Here is a 19,132-nt window from a genome sequence, read left to right as displayed (position 1 = left end):
CTGCTAATTTCATCTACTGTGAAATTACTCATTTTCCCTCTGTAATTAATAATTATTTTGCATGCAGGTGCTTTGAAACTATGTAAAATCCCTTTCCTGATCACAGTTTTAGTTAATTTATTTGTATCAGTGTGTGCTTATGAGCCCGTATTTTATTCAGTGAGCTGTAATCCGTTACTATTGTAACTTATTTTGGTGCCCATCTTGTCCCTGATTTTGCCAGCAGTACCCCCTTCAGTATCTTTTTGACATGTCATCCCTTGATCATACTGATATCTCTAATTTCATTCCAATCCTATAGGCTTCAATTATATTTCCTTCCCTTTTTGTACCTCCTCTTATAGTGAGAAACCTGACTACCATGATCCTTAGTGTTACTTTATTTGATCATTCTCCCTGTATGTAGTCAATCTGCCATTTCTCCTGTCCCTCACCCTGCCCCTTAGTTTTACTTGAGCCTCAAAGCCCCTTTATGTGGAAGCCGTTCTCACCCCACATCGATTTCTACATTGCACACCACAGTGCATCTTTTTGTGGATGCCCTTCTGCTCCAACTTGGGCATTGATACCCAGTGCTGGACCACTCCTGTGCAAGGACTTCTCTGTCATCCTGCTCACCTCAAACCACCCTTTTCTTAATTTATTGGATGCAAAATGGCATCTTATTGGTCTTGATTTGCTTTTCTGTGATTGACAATAAGGTTAGACATCTTTTCATGTGATTATTCACCATTAGTGTATTCTTTCGTGAAATGCGAGTTCATACCTTTCGTACATTATATACTTAAAACTTTACATTAAATACTTTTATGTCTTAAATTTTTTAAAATTTTAAAATAACACATACAATAACAAGAACAATACAGATCTAGAGCTTGGGCTCGAATTCCCCATACCACATCATTTCTTCCACTCCACAGTGACACCAACCTCATCCTGCTTGAGCTCTCTGACTCCTCTTATTAGGGCTACCCCCTCTCTATTTTGCCCATTTTTAATTAAAATGTTATAGGACACACACACACAGACACACACACACACACACACACACACACACTCTGGATACCAAAGTTTTGTGTGTGTGTGTATATGAGACAGAGTGTCGCCCAGGCTGGAGTGCAGTGATGCGTTCTCAGCTCACTGCAACCTCCGCCTCCTGGGTTCAAGCAATTCTCCTGCTTCAGCCTCCCTAGTAGCTGGGATTACAGGTGACTGCCACCACACCCAGCTAATTTTTGTATTTTAGTAGAGACGGGGTTTCACCATGTTGGCCAGGCTGGTCTCGAACTCCTGACCTCAAATGATCCACCCACCTTAGCCTCCCAAAGTGCTGGGATTATAGGCGTGAGCCATCACACCAACCCCCAATGTTTTTGGCAGTGTATTTTATGGTGTTGTTCATTTTTCATCTTCTGTTGTATTTTTGATGAATGAAGTTTTCAATTTTAATGCATTTGAATTTATTAATCTTAACGCTTTGCATATAGTTAACCTTTCTGTGTCTTAAGGAAACGTTTCCTACTATGAGATCATAAAGATATCCTCTTATATTTTGTTTTAAAAATATTAAAGACATGCCTTCTCTATTTAAACCTTTAATCCCTCTGGAATTTATTGTTTATATGTTAGACATCAGGAATCCACTTTTGCCTCCACGATGGGTAACCAGTTGTTTCAACACTATTGAATGATGTCTCCGTTCTCTGGAGATCTAAAGTGTAACTTTTGTCAAATATTTTCTCTGTGTGATGATCTACTTCTCCAGCAATCAATTTGTTTTTCTCCTTTCCAGGAGCGCACTAGCTTAATTATTAGAACTTTATGATACATTTTGGTATCTGGCAAGGCAAGTTTCCTACTATTTTCTTTTGGTGGTAGGATTTTTTCTCTTTCATGGGCTTTTGCTGCTCCATGCAAATTTTAGAATCAACTTATTAAACCTTTTACATTTTGATAGGCATTGCATTAAAGGCATTTGTTTAATTTGGGAAGAATTGTCATTTTACGATACTGAGTATTTATATAATAAACATGGTGTGTCATTCCATTTATTTGGATTATTTAGGTTTCGTTGTTAATGCCTTCCAATATATTTTATTTATATTGAGCATGCAGTATTTACAAGTTACTTTTCTTCCTAGGTATGCTTTGCTGTTGGATATTTTTTAAATGTTGTTTTCTGTTTGTTACTGGTGTACAAAAATACAGTTGATTTTATTTAAAAAAAGTATTCTAATATTTAGCCAGAATTAATTGAATATTAACAAACTGTTCTGATAAATGTGACATAACTTCAAAAGCACACAAGTAAGATTAGAGATCTAGGTTTTTACCCTGAAATTACTTTTGATGTTTTAATAAGTATTAGGTGAATAGTCATTTTTATAGCTTTACTGAGATATAATTTACATACTATAAATTCACCTGTTTAAAGTGTTCAGTTCCGTAGTTTTTATGTTCACATAGGTGTGTAACCAACACCACAGTCTTTTTTTAACAGTTTCATGATCTTAAAAGGAGCTCCACACCTGTTAGCTGTCACTCTCCATTTCCATCCCTTCCCACCCCAGCCCTAGACAACCACCGATCCTTCTGTCTAGATTAATTTGCCTATTCTGTACATTCCATAGAAATGGGATCACGTGATTTTTAGTGATTGGCTTCTTTCACTGAGCGTAATAAAGTTTGACTATGTTGTAGCATGTGTCAGCACTTCATTCCTTTTTGTGACTAAATAATACTTCACTGTATGGATTTATCACATTTTATCTACTTATCAGTGGATGGACATCAGGTTTTTATTTCCCTTCTGTATATACACAGGAATGGAATTCCTGGGTCACGTCGTAACTTGATGTTGCTTTTTAAGGAACTGTCTGTTCCCCTTAGTGGCTACACTGCATTTTACATTCCCACCAGTAGTGTATGAAGAAGGTGGATAGTCATCTTAATTCTACTTTTGCATTCTCCAAAGAGTAATTGTAATACATTAGGTTTATCTTAAAGTATGATTGTTATTTAAAATAATGAGAGAAGTGGCAGTGTATTTTACATCAGACTCATTTTTTTCTTCAACTTTTATTTTAAGTTCTGGGGTACATGTGCAGGATGCGCAAGTTTTTTACATAGGTAAACATATGCCATGTGGTTTACTGCATAGATCAACCCATCACTTAGATACTAAGCCCAGCATCAATTAGCTATTCTTCCTGATGCTCTCCCTCCCCCCACACCTCCCACCCAACAGGCCCAGTGTGTATTGTTCCCCAGAAATGTGTCCATGTATTCTCATCATTCAGCTCCCACTTTTAAGTGACAACATACAGTGCTTGGTTTTCTGTTCCGCGTTAGTTTGCTGAGGATAATGGCTTCTATCCATGTCCCTGCAAAGGACATGATCTCATTCCTTTTTATGGCTGCATAGTATTCCATGGTATATATGTACCACATTTTCTTTATCCAGTCTATCACTGATGGGCATTTGGGTTGATTTCATGTCGTGGCTGTTGTGAATAGTGCTGCAGTGAACATACATGTGCATGTGTCTTTATGATAGAGTGATTTATAATCCTTCAGGTGTATACCCAGTAATGGGATTGCTGGGTCAAATGTTATTTCTGCCTCTAGGTCTTTGAGGACTTGCCACGCTGTCTTCCACAATGGTTGAACTAATTTACACTCCCACCAGCAATGTAAAGTATTCTTTTTTCTCCACAACCTTGCCAGCATCTGTTGTTTTCTGACTCTTTAATAATCACCATTCTGACAGGCATGAGATGGTTATCTCATTATGGTTTTGATTTGCATTTCTCTAATGATCAGTGATGTTGAGCTTTTATATCTATATTTGCTGGCCGCACGAATGTCTTCTTTTTAGAACTGTCTGTTCATGTCTTTGTTCACCTTTTAATGTTTTTTTTCTTGTAAATTTATTTAAACTCTTTGTAAACTCTGGATATGAGACCTTTGTCAGCACATCGGACTCATTTTAAATAAATTTATGATTTTGTATGTAATATATCATTTTTATTTTTGTTTTTCATGGCTTTATTTAGGTATAATTTACATGTATCCAGCAATTCATCCACTGCAAGTGTTCAGTTGGAAGGTTTTGAGTCAATGCACTCAGATGTTGCAGCCATCACCACAGTCCGGCGTTAGGACATTTTCATGTCTTCACAGAGTCTTTCATGCCCATTTCCAATCTCTGTTCTCCTCTCCTGCCCCAGGAGGTGATCTGCTTTCTCTACATACAGTTCAGCTTTTTAAGACATTTCATATATAAATGGAATCATACAATATAGATATCTTTTTGGAATCATACAATATAGATATCTTTCGTATTTAGCTTCTTTCACTAAGCATTAAGTTTCTGAGGTTCATCCTTGGTGACGTGAATCATTAGTTCATTCCCTTTTTTTGTTGGTTACACTTTATGCTTGCCTTTAATAGTTGATGGGCATTTGTTTTGTTTACAGTTTTTGGTTATTATGATTGATGCTGATATCACCATTTGTAGACAGATTTTTTGTGGACATATATTTTTCATTTCTCTTAGGTACTCCAGTGTACAATTAGTGGGTCATTGCAAGGTTATACATTCATGTATGTTTAACTTTTTGAAAAACCACCAAACTGTTTTTCAAGTGGTTATGCCATTTTTACATTCTCACCAGCAATGGAGGAGAGTTTCAGTTTCTTCCTGTCCTCCCCAACCTTTGAGTTTTTTCAGTCTTTTTTTTTTTTAATATAGCTATTCTAGTGAGTGTGTAATGTGATCTCATTGTGATTTTACTAGTATTTCATGTCTTTAGTGGATGACAATGAGCATCTTTTTATGTGTTTACCAAACATTCACATGTCTTCTTTGGTGAAGTACCTTTAAATCTTTAGTCCATTAAAAACAATTTGGTTAGTTTATCTTATTGCTGACTTCAAAGGGTTTTAATATATGCTGTATAGTATATCTTCATCAGTTATATGATTTGCATATATTTTCTTCCATTCTGTGGATTATCTTTCAATTTGATGACATTCCATTTTTAATTTTTTTAAATGGATTGTGCTTTTGTTTTCTTATTTAAGGAATATTTCTGTAACTTAAGGTCATAAGAGTTTATCCTATTCCTTCTTCTAGAAGTTGTGTTTTAATTTTTACAATTCAGACTATAATCCATTTTTAGTTATTTTTGTATGTTGAGAGATACAGGTTTACACTTAATTATTTATTTTCACATATGGATATCTAACTGTACCGCACCATGTATTAAAAAGACTATTATTTTAATTGCAGTGGCATATTTGTCGAAAATCAAATGACTATGAATGGGAGTTTATTCTGGACTCTATTCTGTTCCATTGTCTATATGTGTATCTTTATAGCAGGACCAACACTGTTGGTTACCATATAGATTTATAGTATGTTTTGAGATTAGATAAGTTTAAGTCCTGCAGCTTCATACTTTTTCAGAGTTGTTTCACTATTCTTGGTATTTTATACTTTCATATATATTTTAGGACCAATTTCTAGAAAAAGATTACGATGGCATTTAGGTAGATCAGTGTAGGGAGAATTGACGTCTTAGTAATATTGGATCTTTCAATCAACTGAATCTTTGTTCCAATAAACAAGTCTTCTTTAATTTCCCTCAACAGTGTTTTGTAGTTTTGAGTGCACATGTTTTACTCCTGCCTCTGCTTCCCAAAGTGCTGGAATTGCAGGCGTGAGCCACCGTGCCTGGCTGCGTTTCTTATATACTGGCAACAAACCATCCAAAAATAAATTCCATTCAGCCACAAGAGTAACAAAAAGAATAAAGCTTAAGAATAAATTTAATGGCCAGGTGTGGTGGCTTATGCCTGTCATCCCAGCACTTTGGAAGGTCTAGGTGGGTGGATCACCTGAGGTCAGGAGTTCAAGACCAGCCTGACCAACATAGTGAAATCCCGTCTCTACTAAAAATACAAAATTAGCCAGGCATGGTGGTGCATGCCTGTAATCCCAGCTACTTGGGAGGCTGAGGCAGGAGAGTTGCTTGAACCTGGGAGGCAGAGGTTGCAGTGAGCCAAGACTGCATCATTGCACTCCAGCTTGGGCGACAGAGTGAGACTGTGTCTCAAAAAAAAAAAAAAAAAAAAAAAAAAAAAAAAAAAAGAAATGCAGTTGTTTGTGGATCTTGTCATAAACCTTTCTGAACTTTTTTTTATTAATTATTTTGGGTTTCTTGTAGAGTCCTTAGAGTTATTGGCAAGCAAGATCATGTTACCTGCATATAAGGATAATTTTGACTTCTTTTTCAGTCTATCTATCTTTATATTTGTTGCACTGAGTAGACATCAGATATCCTTGTCTTCTTCAGATCTTAGGTGGGGAAAGCATTCAGTCTTTCACCATTAGTATGATATTAGTTGTAGGCAATTATCTTAGAAAGGAAAGATTGTTTTAACACTGAAACAATTAATATAGTAATTATATATATTATAAATATAATAATATATTATTAATAGACTAAAAGACTAAAAACCCACATAAAAGAGTAAAAACTCACATGATTATCTCGATAGATACAGGAAAAATCATTTGACAAAATCCAACACATCAGTGATAAAAGCAAACAAAACTCACAAACTACACATAGGGAAGAGGGAATAGCAGCTGTATTATATACTACAGCTGTATAATAATTAATAGTGGAAGGTGGAATTTTTTCTCCGTAAAATGGGGACAAAGCATGAATGTTTGCGCTCACCACTTCTTTTCAACACTAGACTGGAAGTTCTAGCCATATTTTTTCTCATTGTAATGTTTATGCAGCCTATTTTGGAGCATGTGGAAATATTAAGGGAAAATAACCCCAACTCCTTTTCCTACCATCTAGAATATCACTGTTATCATTGTGTTCTCCGTCCCTTCAGTATGGTGTGTGTATATGTGTGTGGGGTAACACATTAAAAAACAAATTTGAGATCATCCTTTATGCTCACATCTCTGACCTAATTTGTTACCATTTTTTTCCTTGCTCATTACTACCTACTTTGGTCATCTCTCAGTTCCTTAAGCAGGCACGTCCTTTGCATACACTATTTCTTTTATTGGAAATTCTCTTCACTTTATTCTTTGTATGACTAGGGCCTTCTCAGCTTAAATGTCATTTTCTCAGAGAAGCTTTTGCTTTTCCTTATCACTTTATGTAAAATAGCTTCCTCTCTACCTCTTGCTTTGTTTGAAATCTTCAATTATTTTATTTTCTGTTTGCTTCTTTCCTGTCTCTTTCCCATGGGAACTGTGTTCGTCTTATTCATGTTGTAATTCCAACACCTAGCATAGTGTCTAGCCTTCTAATTTGTTTAGCAATTTGTTCAACTCAGATGAATAGTATCTTGCTTTCTTAGCATTGTATTGTGATAATTTTACCACATTATTAAATAAATGGATCTTTGAAAACATCCATTTTAAAGATTGTATAATATTTCATAATATAATTATGATGAAGTTATTTAAAATTTTCTTATTCATTAGACATGCTTCTTTTGTCATGATTCAGAACACATCTGGCATATTCAGTTTCACTGACTTGAACTGAAGGCTAATTTACTCACTTATTAATATAGGAAAACTTTAAGTATTAATGTTAGAGTAGTTTATTTTGTGTTATCTTTTGTTGGTTTTATTTAAATATTCTTTTAATTTATCTTTTGTGTGGTCATATATTTGTCTCAGAAGGAGAGTGTCTTAGTAGAGACCAACCATTAACATAAACAATTCTAGAATGTGACAAAATATCAAATACACATTGTGGGCTCGGAATACTTTTAACTTTTTACATGGAAAATGTAGGCTCATTAAGTTCATATGCTAGTACCAAGTATTTTGCATTACCTGAATTGAGACCATTGTAGATGAACAGTAGTAGGGAAAAATCAGAATTTATTTTCCAGAGAACTGTCAAGGCCCTGTCTTTTTCCAAAATACTGGGATTTGAATTCCACCTCAGTCTCTTATTGACTTTGTGATTTGGGGTAACTTAAACCCAGTTTCCTCATCTACAAACTGGGGATAATAATAATCACCTTACAGGGTTTTTTTAAGATTATATCTGTAAAAGGCTTATTGTTATGTTTGAGACATAGTAATTGCTCATTAAACTATAGTTATCATTACCTGTTAAGTCTCTTAGTTCTAGGAGTGTTGGTAAGAGTAGTAGCTGTAAGGATTCCTCATGGTGTCATCAACAGATAATGACCAGTTCATTAATAATGTTCCTCTAAGTTGGGCACCGTGGTGCACACCTGCAGTTCCAGCTACTTGGGAGGTTGAGTCGGGAGGATCATTTGAACCCAGGAGTTTGAGACCAGCCTGAGCAACATAGCGAGATCCTCGTCTCTAAAAATAAAAATAATAATGATAATAGTAATGTTCCTCTAGAGATATTTCCTTTTACCCTTCTCAGGAGTTGGTGGTTTTCTTTATAGAATATGCCAGTTTGTAGGGTTTCTTATCTATATACACAGACCAAAAAAAGATTTAGCCCACAAGTTCACATTTTAAAGTTCCAGTAATCAATTTATAGATTACTAGTTGCAGCATTCTCTTTCCTTCCTTCCTTCCTTCCTTCATTCTTTTCTTTTTCTTTCTTTTCTTTCTTTCTCTTTTCTTTCTTTCTTTCTTGTCTTTCTTCTTTTCTTTCTTTCTTTCTCTCTCTCTCTCTTTCTTTCCTTCCTTCTTTCCTTCTTTCTTTCTTTGACGGAGTCTCGCTCTGTCGCCCAGGCTGGAGTGCAGTGGCGCGATCTTGGCTCACTGCAAGCTCTGCCTCCCAGGTTCACACCATTCTCCTGCCTCAGCCTCCCGAGTAGCTGGGACTACAGGTGCCCACCACCACACCCAGCTAATTTTTTTATATTTTTAGTAGAAATGGGGTTTTACCTTGTTAGCCAGGATGGTCTCGATCTCCAGACCTCATGATCTGCCCATTTCGGCTTCCCAAAGTGCTGGGATTACAGGTGTGAGCCACTGCGCCCGGCCAGCATTCTCAAATATAGTTATGGGTACTTTCTTGTTCCAACTTTAAAATAAAAGGTTATAATCTTTTTTCAAGAAGGAAAAAAGGTAATTGAAAACTGAACAGTTAAATTCTACTGGAATTTCAGTGAGTTGGTAGATAATGTTGATAACGGGAAGATGGGCGTGCCTTGAGTATTACTTCAGAGACTGGGGATTGGAGACTTCAGAAATTCCCGAGGTCCCTACCACATTCTAATAGGAGTACTCATGTAATTACACATATGGTTATTGTTAAGTTGATGTGTGAATCACATCCTTCTAGGTATATATAATCAGGGCAAGTGATTGTTTCCTACTCTTCTTAGAATTCCTATCTGAATTTATAGTCAAGATTTAATTGAGTCCAAGATCTATAATTTGGGGCATATGACTTAACCAGCCCTGCTCAGTATCTGTTGCTCCTCTATGAAATGGAATCTCTGCTCATTTCACCGAGTTGTGAAAATCAAATACAGTCATGTCCATGATAGCATTTTGTAACTGGTAAAGCATTACTCACTTAATGATGCTCCCATTTATGTGTCAGACCTGTCTCTTTCCCACAGCTATTTAGTAGGGTGCTGCTGGTGGCCGTGTGATAGCTCAGAACTACATCTGTATTGTGCACTGCCTCTTAGGAGTTTTATACTTGTATTAGGGAGTGGAAAATTTTAGATTTTTTCCTATTTGCATCATTTTATTTGTGGTGTTTGTTAGAAAAATAATATGTATGTATTTACTGTAGAGAAATTAGAAAATGCAAATCAGCAAAAAGAAAAAATAACAATTACCTCTAAATGCAGAAATAATTACTGCATTTACTTTTGTTTAAAACAAAAATTCAATTATGCTGAAATAATGTTGTTTCCTGTTTTTATCACTTATATAGTATATAATTTCATATAATTTAATTTTCTTGTATAATATTTTAATGACTACATAATATTCCATGATGTAATATACTGTAGTTTATTTAACTATTTCTAATTTTTTCATTTTGACGTTTTATGGCTGTATACAATGTACTGCACAAATATAATAATATGTATTTTGAACATCCTTATGGCTAAATATTTACACCTATCCTCCATGATTTTTTTAATTAGGATAAATCTTAGACATGGAATTGCTGCATCAACGGACATATAACATGTTAAGGCATTTAATTTTTGTTACAGTTTTATCGAGGTATAATTGATGAATAAACTGCACATATTTAAGGAACAATCTGACAAGTTTTGACATGTGTGTACACCTGTGAAACCATCATCACCATTAAGATGATATTTCTTTGTAATCCCTCCCTTGGGCATCCTTCATCCCCAGGCAACCTCACTGATCTATTTTCTTTCACAATAGATGAATTTGCGTTTTCTGGAATGTTATCCAAATGGAATCACACAAAATATGTTTCTTTTTGTCTGGCTTCTTGCACTCAGGGTAATTATTTTGAGATTCATCCATATTTATTTTCCGTATGTGTTGTGTGTATTCTGTTTTGATACTGAGTAGTAAAATTATATTGTATGGATATACCATATGATTCATTCACCTATTGATGGGCATTTCAGTTGTTTCCAGTTTTTGACTATTAAAAATAAATCTACTTTGGGCATTGTTGTGTAAATCTTTTCATGGATATATAGGGCATTTGATATTTATTACCAATTTTTTTGCTGCAAAGATTACATACTTGGTATTTTGAAACTGAAAAAGTTCCATATAAGAAAACTATAGCTATTCTTTTTTTTTTTTTTAAGAAATACACGTTTAGGAGGATTTATAATTTTTTGTATGTAAATTAATTAATTTAGCACAGCACGCTAAGAAATTTGAAATTAACAAAGGTTAATAAACACATCCTAGCAACTATAAACCTTTTTCACAGCTTATTTTGTTGAAGCAGCTACTTTTATCGATTATTACCTAGAAAGCAGAGATCTATTGCTTTCTGTTAATGAACCAGCATTCATAAACAATTGATATTTTTCTGTCAAATGACTACTTTTGCATTGAACTTGAACAAGAAAAGGTAATGGGATAAGTTGAACTTGATCAAAAGGTATTCCAGAATCTGGTTTGGAATAGATGCCAAACTATCTTTTCCCTCTTGTTAAGATGCACACTTGACTGAAGGAGGACAGGGAATCTGAAGACTCCGGATGACATCAGAGCTACTTTTCAACAGCCTTCTCAATTTTCTTTCTCAGAAAGCAGAGGCTCAGAGCTTGGAGACAGACGGTGAGAATATTTTTTTCCTGAGTTCTTAAGGCTTAATCATTATGACTTTAATATATTTCAGACAATTCTTTCTCAGTTATAAATTAGCTTATAATTCAAAATATGTATTATGTACTTCATCTGTGCAAGTTACTTCATCAGGCAATGTGGTTTAAAAAATGAAAGAGCTACAATCCTTCCTTTAAGGAACTTATATGGAAAGAATAAATGTAGATAAATAATGTAATCAAACAGTAAAAGAGGTTAAATGCTGTAAGAGAAATGGAGAAAAATATTCTTGAGAATTCAGTGTGTAGATTACTTCTGGAGAGAGGAATTGGAAAGCTTGAAAGAAGAAATAGTATTTTTGTTGACAACACTTAATTCGATTTATCAAAAACCAGAGAAAATGGACAGTTAATACAAATCCTACAATAGCAATCCCTGATTTCAGATAAAAAGTTAATTACCGTTTTGAGGAAAAATAGAAGCATGTTTGATTATTGTGTGTTTATTATAGTATAGGCCAGTGATTACTTTTGGAATTATTAAAATTCCTCTTACAAAGGAAAGAGCATTATTAGTATTTCTGAGAAATGATAAAGTAATTGGATTAAATTAACACAAGTAGGTGGGCAGAGCAACAAAAAAGACGATGAGCAAGTGGTTAATTCTACTTGGATTAACACTCCTGTTTTCTAGTATAGCTACAACCTAAATGAATTTGTCATGTCTTAAGCTCTTGGACCTTATGCTGCTTATTTCTGGGAAGGAGAAATCCAAGTGAACTAGGTAAAGGCATAATGATTGATTATTGTGCTCATAATCCGTTGTGAATAGTTCAGTTTCATCTAGCTAACTGAAAAACTCTGGTCAAAGAGAGAGAGCAGATACAGCATGCTGAAATTCACCATGTTTTACCTGACCACAGTGTTTCAAAAAGGGAATGGCAACTTTGAGCCAAATTTGCTCTTTACCTGTAGGCCTCATATGGATAATCCTAACTGCTTTTTCTTCACTATTCTGATAATGTTCAGAAAACCTAGTAATGAAGTTATTTTAATCACCCACTTAAATGCTTAGCTTTTCTTGTAATTTCATCAAGAAAATCTTTAAAATGTTATTTTTTAAAAGACTGCATAAAATTACTAATAATTATTTGGTTGCAAGTCACTTTTCGTATATTCATTTATATTTTACTTATAATTGGAATTTAAAATCAATGACGCAATTATTTGTAAATACTAAAATTTTTTTATTCAGATATAATTAGGTGTTAATCACTGGTTGGCAGTCTGAAATCTGCTTTTATATTTGATGAAACAGTTGATATTGAACCCCATTTCTGAACTTCTAATTCTATTAAAATTAACATTATAATCATGCATATTCCTGTGACCGCCCCGCCACAAGATATAATTGGTTTGTTGTTGTTCTTAATTTTCAACACCTTTGTTTTACCACATAGCCAGAATGATAAGCAATGCTCACTGGATCCAACTAGGAGTTGGATAAGTAAATTATAGGTAGCCATCTGGTAAATATACACAGCCAATGAGTTGTTCTTAGAAAATTGTCAAATTTAGATTTTTCTTCCAGATTAAAAAAAAAGACAGCCAGGCATGGTGTCTCACACCTGTAATCCCAGCACTTTGGGAGGCCAAGGTGGGCAGATCATGAGGTCAGGAGTTCAAGACCAGCCTGACCAGTATGGTGAAACCCTGTCTCTACTAAAAATACAAATATTAGCCAGGTGTGGTAGCGCGTGCCTGTAGTCCCAGTTATTTGGGAGGCTGAGGCAGGAGAATCACTTAAGTCGGCAGTCGGGGTTGCAGTGAGCCAAGATTGTGCCACTGCACTCCAGCCTGGGTGACAGAGAAAGACTCCGTCTCAAAAAAAAAAAAAAAAAAAAAAAAAGACATTATAATGTATAGTGAACAACTTTGAAAACTAAAAATTTATAAAAACAAATTACTGATAGTGATTTTCTATATTCCTTTCACATATTTTTAAACGTTTTTAGATTTTAAAGATGATTATGTCAAATGTGTTTTTTCTAAAACGTGTTGTGTTAAATATGTTTTCCTTTTAAATGAACAGTCCATGGTCAAATAAGCTTGGGAGATGTTGGGTCAAAGTATAGAATGTCTTTTCAATATGCCTTTCATTAACCAGTGGACTGTGTCTCCAAAAGGAGGATCTGGTATATCTCAGGAGATGAGTATTTGACAAGTTGAGGATTCTAAACTAATGTTTTATGAGGTTTTTACTATAGTTTGTCTTACCCTGCAAAACACTCATGTTATATTTTTAAGTATAGTAATTTTTTTTGACTGAAAGCTCAAAGATAATGATTGGGAGGAAAAAGGATGTAATTAATTGAATATTGCAAACTAAATAAAGAATGAAGTGTTTAAAAAGCCTTTCAGTGTCTTAGGCCATGTTTCCCTTGCTATTTTGTTAGCTCCTTCTTTTGAAAGAGATACAATCATCATATTGAGTAACTAACAAAATTAATTCACCCTTTTTTATATTTTATAGGACTTTATATACTTTCTGTGCTGTTTATCTCAGTGTATAATATTTATTAGCTAATTTTGATAAAATTGCTGATACAAAAACAGAGAATATTTTCGGTAGTGTTAACTAAATGACCATAAATCAATTTAGCTTAAACACTTGAATATACTAATTTTCTCTAATGGAATTTTTATTGTTATATGTCATGGTTTTCCACTAGGACGAGTTCTCTATTGTACTTTTTTCTAGTTTGATTAAATTTTTGACAACTATGGTAGAATAGATGTCTTGAGTTTAAAACTTTCCTGTCAGACATAAAATATCTATATAAATTTTTTTTTAAAAAAGGGCCAGTACTCTGGGCGTGGTGGCTCACGCTTGCAATCCCAGCACTTTGAGAGGCCGAGGCGGGCGGATCACGAGGTCAGGAGATCGAGACCATCCTGGCTGACACGGTGAAACCCTGTCTGTACTAAAAATACAAAAAATTAGCCGGGCGCCATGGCGGGCGCCTGTAGTCCCAGCTACTCGGGAGGCTGAGGCAGGAGAATGGCGTGAACCCGGGAGGTGGAGCTTGCAGTGAGCTGAGATCGCGCCACTGCACTCCAGCCTGGGCGACAGAGCAAGACTCCATCTCAAAAAAAAAGTGCCAGTACTGATGAGCTGGGTTACGAGGTTGGTAAAGTAGGCTAATTGTATACATGGAATGCCTGTCCAACTTCATAAAACACTCCTCAAAGTCATATTTTTTTTTATTTGTTTAAGAAATAACTCTTTGTAAAATGTGTTTAAACTTTCACACCAGATTTTTAGTAGAAACGTGATGCTGGTGAAAGAAAGATCAATTTATAATCTGGGTGAGTTGTCCTAGTTGGAATTAATTGCCGTAAACCAATTTGGCCTTCTCACTAGTGTTTTCCTGGCCTTGTGGATAACCCTGGTAAGAAAATCTGTATGCTTGGCTCAAATGAATCATTGTTAGTTTCCAGCATTGCTTCCATCCACTCTTAATTCCCTTTCTCACAGCCAGCCATCTTCGTTCAGAGTCTTATCATTTCTCATCTGGAGCTCTTGTGCTGGCAGGCCTGTTTACTGACATCCTTGTTCGAGTCTTTTACAACCACCAGATCTTCCTAAAACTCCAGCTTGCTTGTGTTACTTGTCTGATCAAAAATAATGTAGCAATTGCAATAGCATAATGAACATAGAAAAGTAATAGACCTTCCTTAATCCTAACTTACTGTTACTATGGGAAACATTAATACAATTAACATTTTTTTAATTTGGTATCTTTAAATAATTGACTTTTCCTTAAGTCTTTTACTTAGTATCTTAATTGATATAACTTACGTTGTTTGGGGAGGAAGATCCCTACTAGACTAAGCCTCCATATCAACTCAGATTTTATAAAGTCGCTATATGCGAAGCCTCCATATCAACTCAGGTTTTTTTTTTTTTCCTTTTCCATGAAAGGTTTCAAATGAAGGAATCAAAATAATTTTAAAAGTGTTGATCAAACTGTCAATACACTTTCTCTTCTTACACAGACCCTGGTCTTTTTTCACTGAAATTAACTGTTGTGAACCTGATAGTCTCCTTGATTCTCTGCTACATTTGCCCTTCAACCATGTGGCCTGTGGTTTGCATATCTGAAAATTTTCTGATTCTAACGTCAGAGCTTATGCATTTTATTTAGATAACTAGAATTTCTTCATTCTGGATTAGAGGTATATGAGTAATTTTCAAACCTCGCTTGCTTCCTTTTTGCATTTATTTATTTAAAAAAATGTTCATAGTACAGTCTATGTAAGCTTCTAGCTTGAAGCTTTGTCTCCTGCTGTTGCCGCCCCTCTCTGCACCTCCTCCCCACCTGCCATCTTCTAGCCTGTCCTCCAAGCTAGTGCTTCTCAAAATATCTGCAGTAAAGGCCAATAATTTGTTTGTCTGTTTCTATTTTATTTTTTTTAGTAACTCACTTTTATTGTCTTTTTAAAAAGCTATATGACAGAAGTTTTTAGCAAGACTACAAAATCTAAGTCCACATCTTTCATCATTAAATTTAATTATAACTTTTATAGAACATGCCATCAAATTATTTTGTCATGTTCTATAAAAGTTTGTCATTACTGGCAATTTTTATTCTTGGAGGTGATTACTTAAAGTTTCTAGAACATACTCTATGCCATTGTGCTTCCTGGACTGGGCTTATGGTCCTCCTACTTTCTGAAGAATACTGAAGCTTCTTTTCTAATTGAGAAAGCCTTGTTTGTCCCTAGAGTCAGTTCACATGCAGCCTCTGTAGAGAACCTTCACTAAAAATGGTGTTCCCTGCCTTACCACTCAGTCTTCTTCCAAAAATTGTGTCTTTCAGTGCTTTCTCCACTTTGTCCATGCCATCTTTTTAGTAGCATCTCACTATGTTGTTGATCTGTTTTTTCCCGATGAGATTGTGAGCCCACTAAGGGCTGGTTTATCACTTAGTTATCCTTATAACTTCAGCTCTTAACAACATAGCAGCTTCTTTATAAATATTTGTACATTTGTTACTCCTTGTATGGTAAATTCAGAATAATAACGACTCTAGAGATGGGAGATTTTTCATATCCTCCTTAGTTTACTCATCTTTTTAGAAAGTTCTTTCTTTTCTTTCCTCGTCTTGGTCTTAGGGACATTCTGCACAGAGAACAATATTTATCTGCCATAATTATAGTGGAAATTCTTGAAATTAGAAGAGATTATGTTTGAAGAAAACCAACATTGTACTTTTCAACTATTAATAGCAGCAGCTTTCAAACTTTTTGCTTTCAAGACAACTTTATATTCTTAAATTATCAAGGACCCAAGAGAGCTTTTATTTATGAGATTCATATCAACTGATGTTTATCATATTAGAAATTTAAACTGAGAAAAAATTTAAAACAAGAGTTACACAAGGATGCATTCCATGTATATAGCCTCTAGACAACTCTACTGTACACTTATGAAGGAATGATACCAAAAGCCAGATAACATTTAGTAGTATGAAAGTAGTCTTTTCTTCATGTGCCTCCTGAATGGGTCATGGCCACCCCTGGCATCCTTGGACCACCCTTTGAGGACTGCTGTATTATGGCAATTCACTTGTCTAATTGCGAACAGAATCTTCTATATTTTTATTCCAATAATGTTAACCTTGCTTTTGTGTTTGTAGACTAATAAGTTTTTTTTTAATAACTGCACGGTGTATCATATTACCCACTTTTCTATTAATGTCTAGACCTAGAATGTGCTGAAACTTACTGCCAGCGTTGGCTTGGCAGCTGTAAGACAGAGATGCTTACTCAAGGAGAAGTCATTTTATTTGTGGATACTCAGTAAGGTCATTCCTAGTTTTGCCCTGTCAATTTTCCCCCTACCCCGGCTTTCAAGTCCTCTTTATGATTTGTGTACCTTCTAATACTTCTTCTACGGTGATTCGCCCAACTCTAGAGGTTTGGTCGTTTAAAAAAGTTTCACAAAATGAAGTTGATGTGTTATTTTGCAGGATTGAGTAGGCTTCCCCTCAAGTCTTTCCTTCTCTCCTTTGTGTGACCTTCCCCTCCACTTGCCTCAACCTGATCCCTGATGCTGGCGGTCCTTTTCTGAGAGTACAGTCTGCTCTCTGGCAGATATTTACTTGGCCCTGGTGACTCCTGTTCTGTTTTACTCCCTACTCTCTTACCTTGGCTGATACTCTGTTAAATTCTTTCTGAGGTCTCAGCGGGACAGTCAGTCTCTAGAGTATCTGACGACGCTCTTCAAATTACATTGGTGCTGGGTCTTCCCTGAGGGTTCTGGGAATGCGTTGTGTACCTTTCAGCTGGATCGGAATACCAAGATGGCTGCTAGTTCCGACACTTGATTTACTGACAGCTTCATACTGTTTTTACTCGTAGTGTTTTTATTGTGTGATGATGTCATGCAAGCTGGAATTTGAGGACTTGATATCATTATGAGTGATCATCTAAAAACATGAAGCTGATAGAATGTTGGGTAGTTTTTATTTTTTAATTCTGTGTCCTAAACGTAGTCGGGACTCAAGAAATGTTTGCTGAGTTAATTTTTTTTCTCATTAGCGTTGGATAGAACTCTTAGCTCCAAGAACCACATTATAATTTAAGTCGGACATCTCTGTCTTATAGCCAAGGGAAATACGCTCTCACACTGTTCTGAAAAGGTACATGTCACTGTCTTAGCAAAACCCTTACCTAATACTTAATGAAGGTTGATAGTTCAAAGTACAAAATTCAGACTTCAAACAGGATCTGATTCTGCCTCTTTAAAGCACCCCTGTAAGAATTACTACTTTTTTGAAACTTTGTAGAAATCATTTTTTTAGCACAGTGTTTATCAAACCTAGGCTTGAGATATAGTAATTATTTTTATCGTTTTTATCTTTGATTCAATAAAGTTGCTATGAAATAACACCCTATCTTATAGCACTGTTTATGTTAAACAAATTGGTTTTTAAATATTCAAAGCAGCCTTCATTGTTTCCAGAGCTGTCTTTTTCTTCAACTCTCCTGCCTTTGCCTTATTTTGACCATGGCAGTGCACTAACTGATCTACAGTTTCTTCTTCCCTCCAAGCTATCAACAACTCCCATAGCTTCTGGTTTTGTTTTTCTAATATGCTTTTAATAATACCATTGCTTGTAAGGAAACCCACCAGATAAAGGCCAGCTTCTTGGCATGGCCTTGATTCAAAGTCCTTGGTCCCAGTTGCATTTCCAGCCTAATCTCCACTCCCATTGGACTACCACACTTCCTGTGTCACACTCAGCTCTTCCTTGCCTTTGAGTGCTATTTCTGGACCCTAGAATGGCTGCCATTCTCTTCTGCCTGGCTAGCCCTTACTCATTTTTTAACCATCACTGACTACCACCTGCATGTGTACATATGAACTAAAAACCTGGTTACAGCCTATCTGTGTTCCTAGAGCACTTTTTACATATTTCAGTCATTGCATTTAGCACAGTATATACTCTCTCTCCTTTGGCACAGAGACTAAGGAAGAAAATCACCGGCACTGTGCACTCTCGGGTCTTATTTACTCACTAGGTGTTATTACTCTGTCCTTTTCCTGTCCTGTTCAGGAAAACATACCTGAATCCAAGTGAGTGAAAGTGTGGTTATCACCCAAGTTATCTTGAATTTATTTAGTCTGTTTTTTTAAAAGGGAATAATTTGCAACCTCTTAGACCTTATTAAATTCTGTACTTAACACTAAATACTTACACTAAATACTCTTTAGAACTAATCATGACATACCTTATATCTGATGATGACAAACCAGCATGTTATAGATGGAGACACACTGATTTTAGCATATATT

The 19,132-nt window shown here is 35.4% G+C and overlaps 1 protein-coding gene across 21 annotated transcripts in view, besides 1 other annotated feature; it reads left to right on the top strand.

The window, feature by feature from the left end:
• Window positions 1–19,132, top strand: part of NRIP1 (nuclear receptor interacting protein 1) — a 104,702-nt gene that overhangs the window by 40,312 nt on the left and 45,258 nt on the right. For 9 of the 21 annotated variants that reach the window (NM_001439279.1, XM_047440992.1, NM_001439277.1 and 6 more), the window contains one exon: window positions 11,159–11,281. The exons of 9 other annotated variants lie outside the window; for them this stretch is intronic. The gene's annotated coding sequence lies outside the window, so the exon portion shown is untranslated. Of the gene's footprint in view, window positions 1–10,399; window positions 10,481–11,158; window positions 11,282–19,132 lie in introns of all 21 variants that reach the window. 3 more of the 21 variants (XM_047440994.1, XM_011529751.3, XM_047440993.1) reach the window with 1 other exon arrangement.
• Window positions 17,607–17,776: an enhancer, noted in NCBI's record as "experimental_61740 CRE fragment used in MPRA reporter constructs". NCBI's record gives its function as "activates a minimal promoter by MPRAs in K562 erythroleukemia cells, with activity observed for both the introgressed and non-introgressed 21:16380255 variant alleles {active_cell/tissue: K562}" and the evidence as "EXISTENCE:reporter gene assay evidence [ECO:0000049][PMID:34662402]".

Source organism: Homo sapiens, chromosome 21, assembly GCF_000001405.40.
Source record: "Homo sapiens chromosome 21, GRCh38.p14 Primary Assembly".
Lineage (NCBI taxonomy): Eukaryota > Metazoa > Chordata > Mammalia > Primates > Hominidae > Homo > Homo sapiens.
Note: the sequence above shows the minus strand (reverse complement) of the source record. Positions and strands in the feature narration are given on the sequence as shown.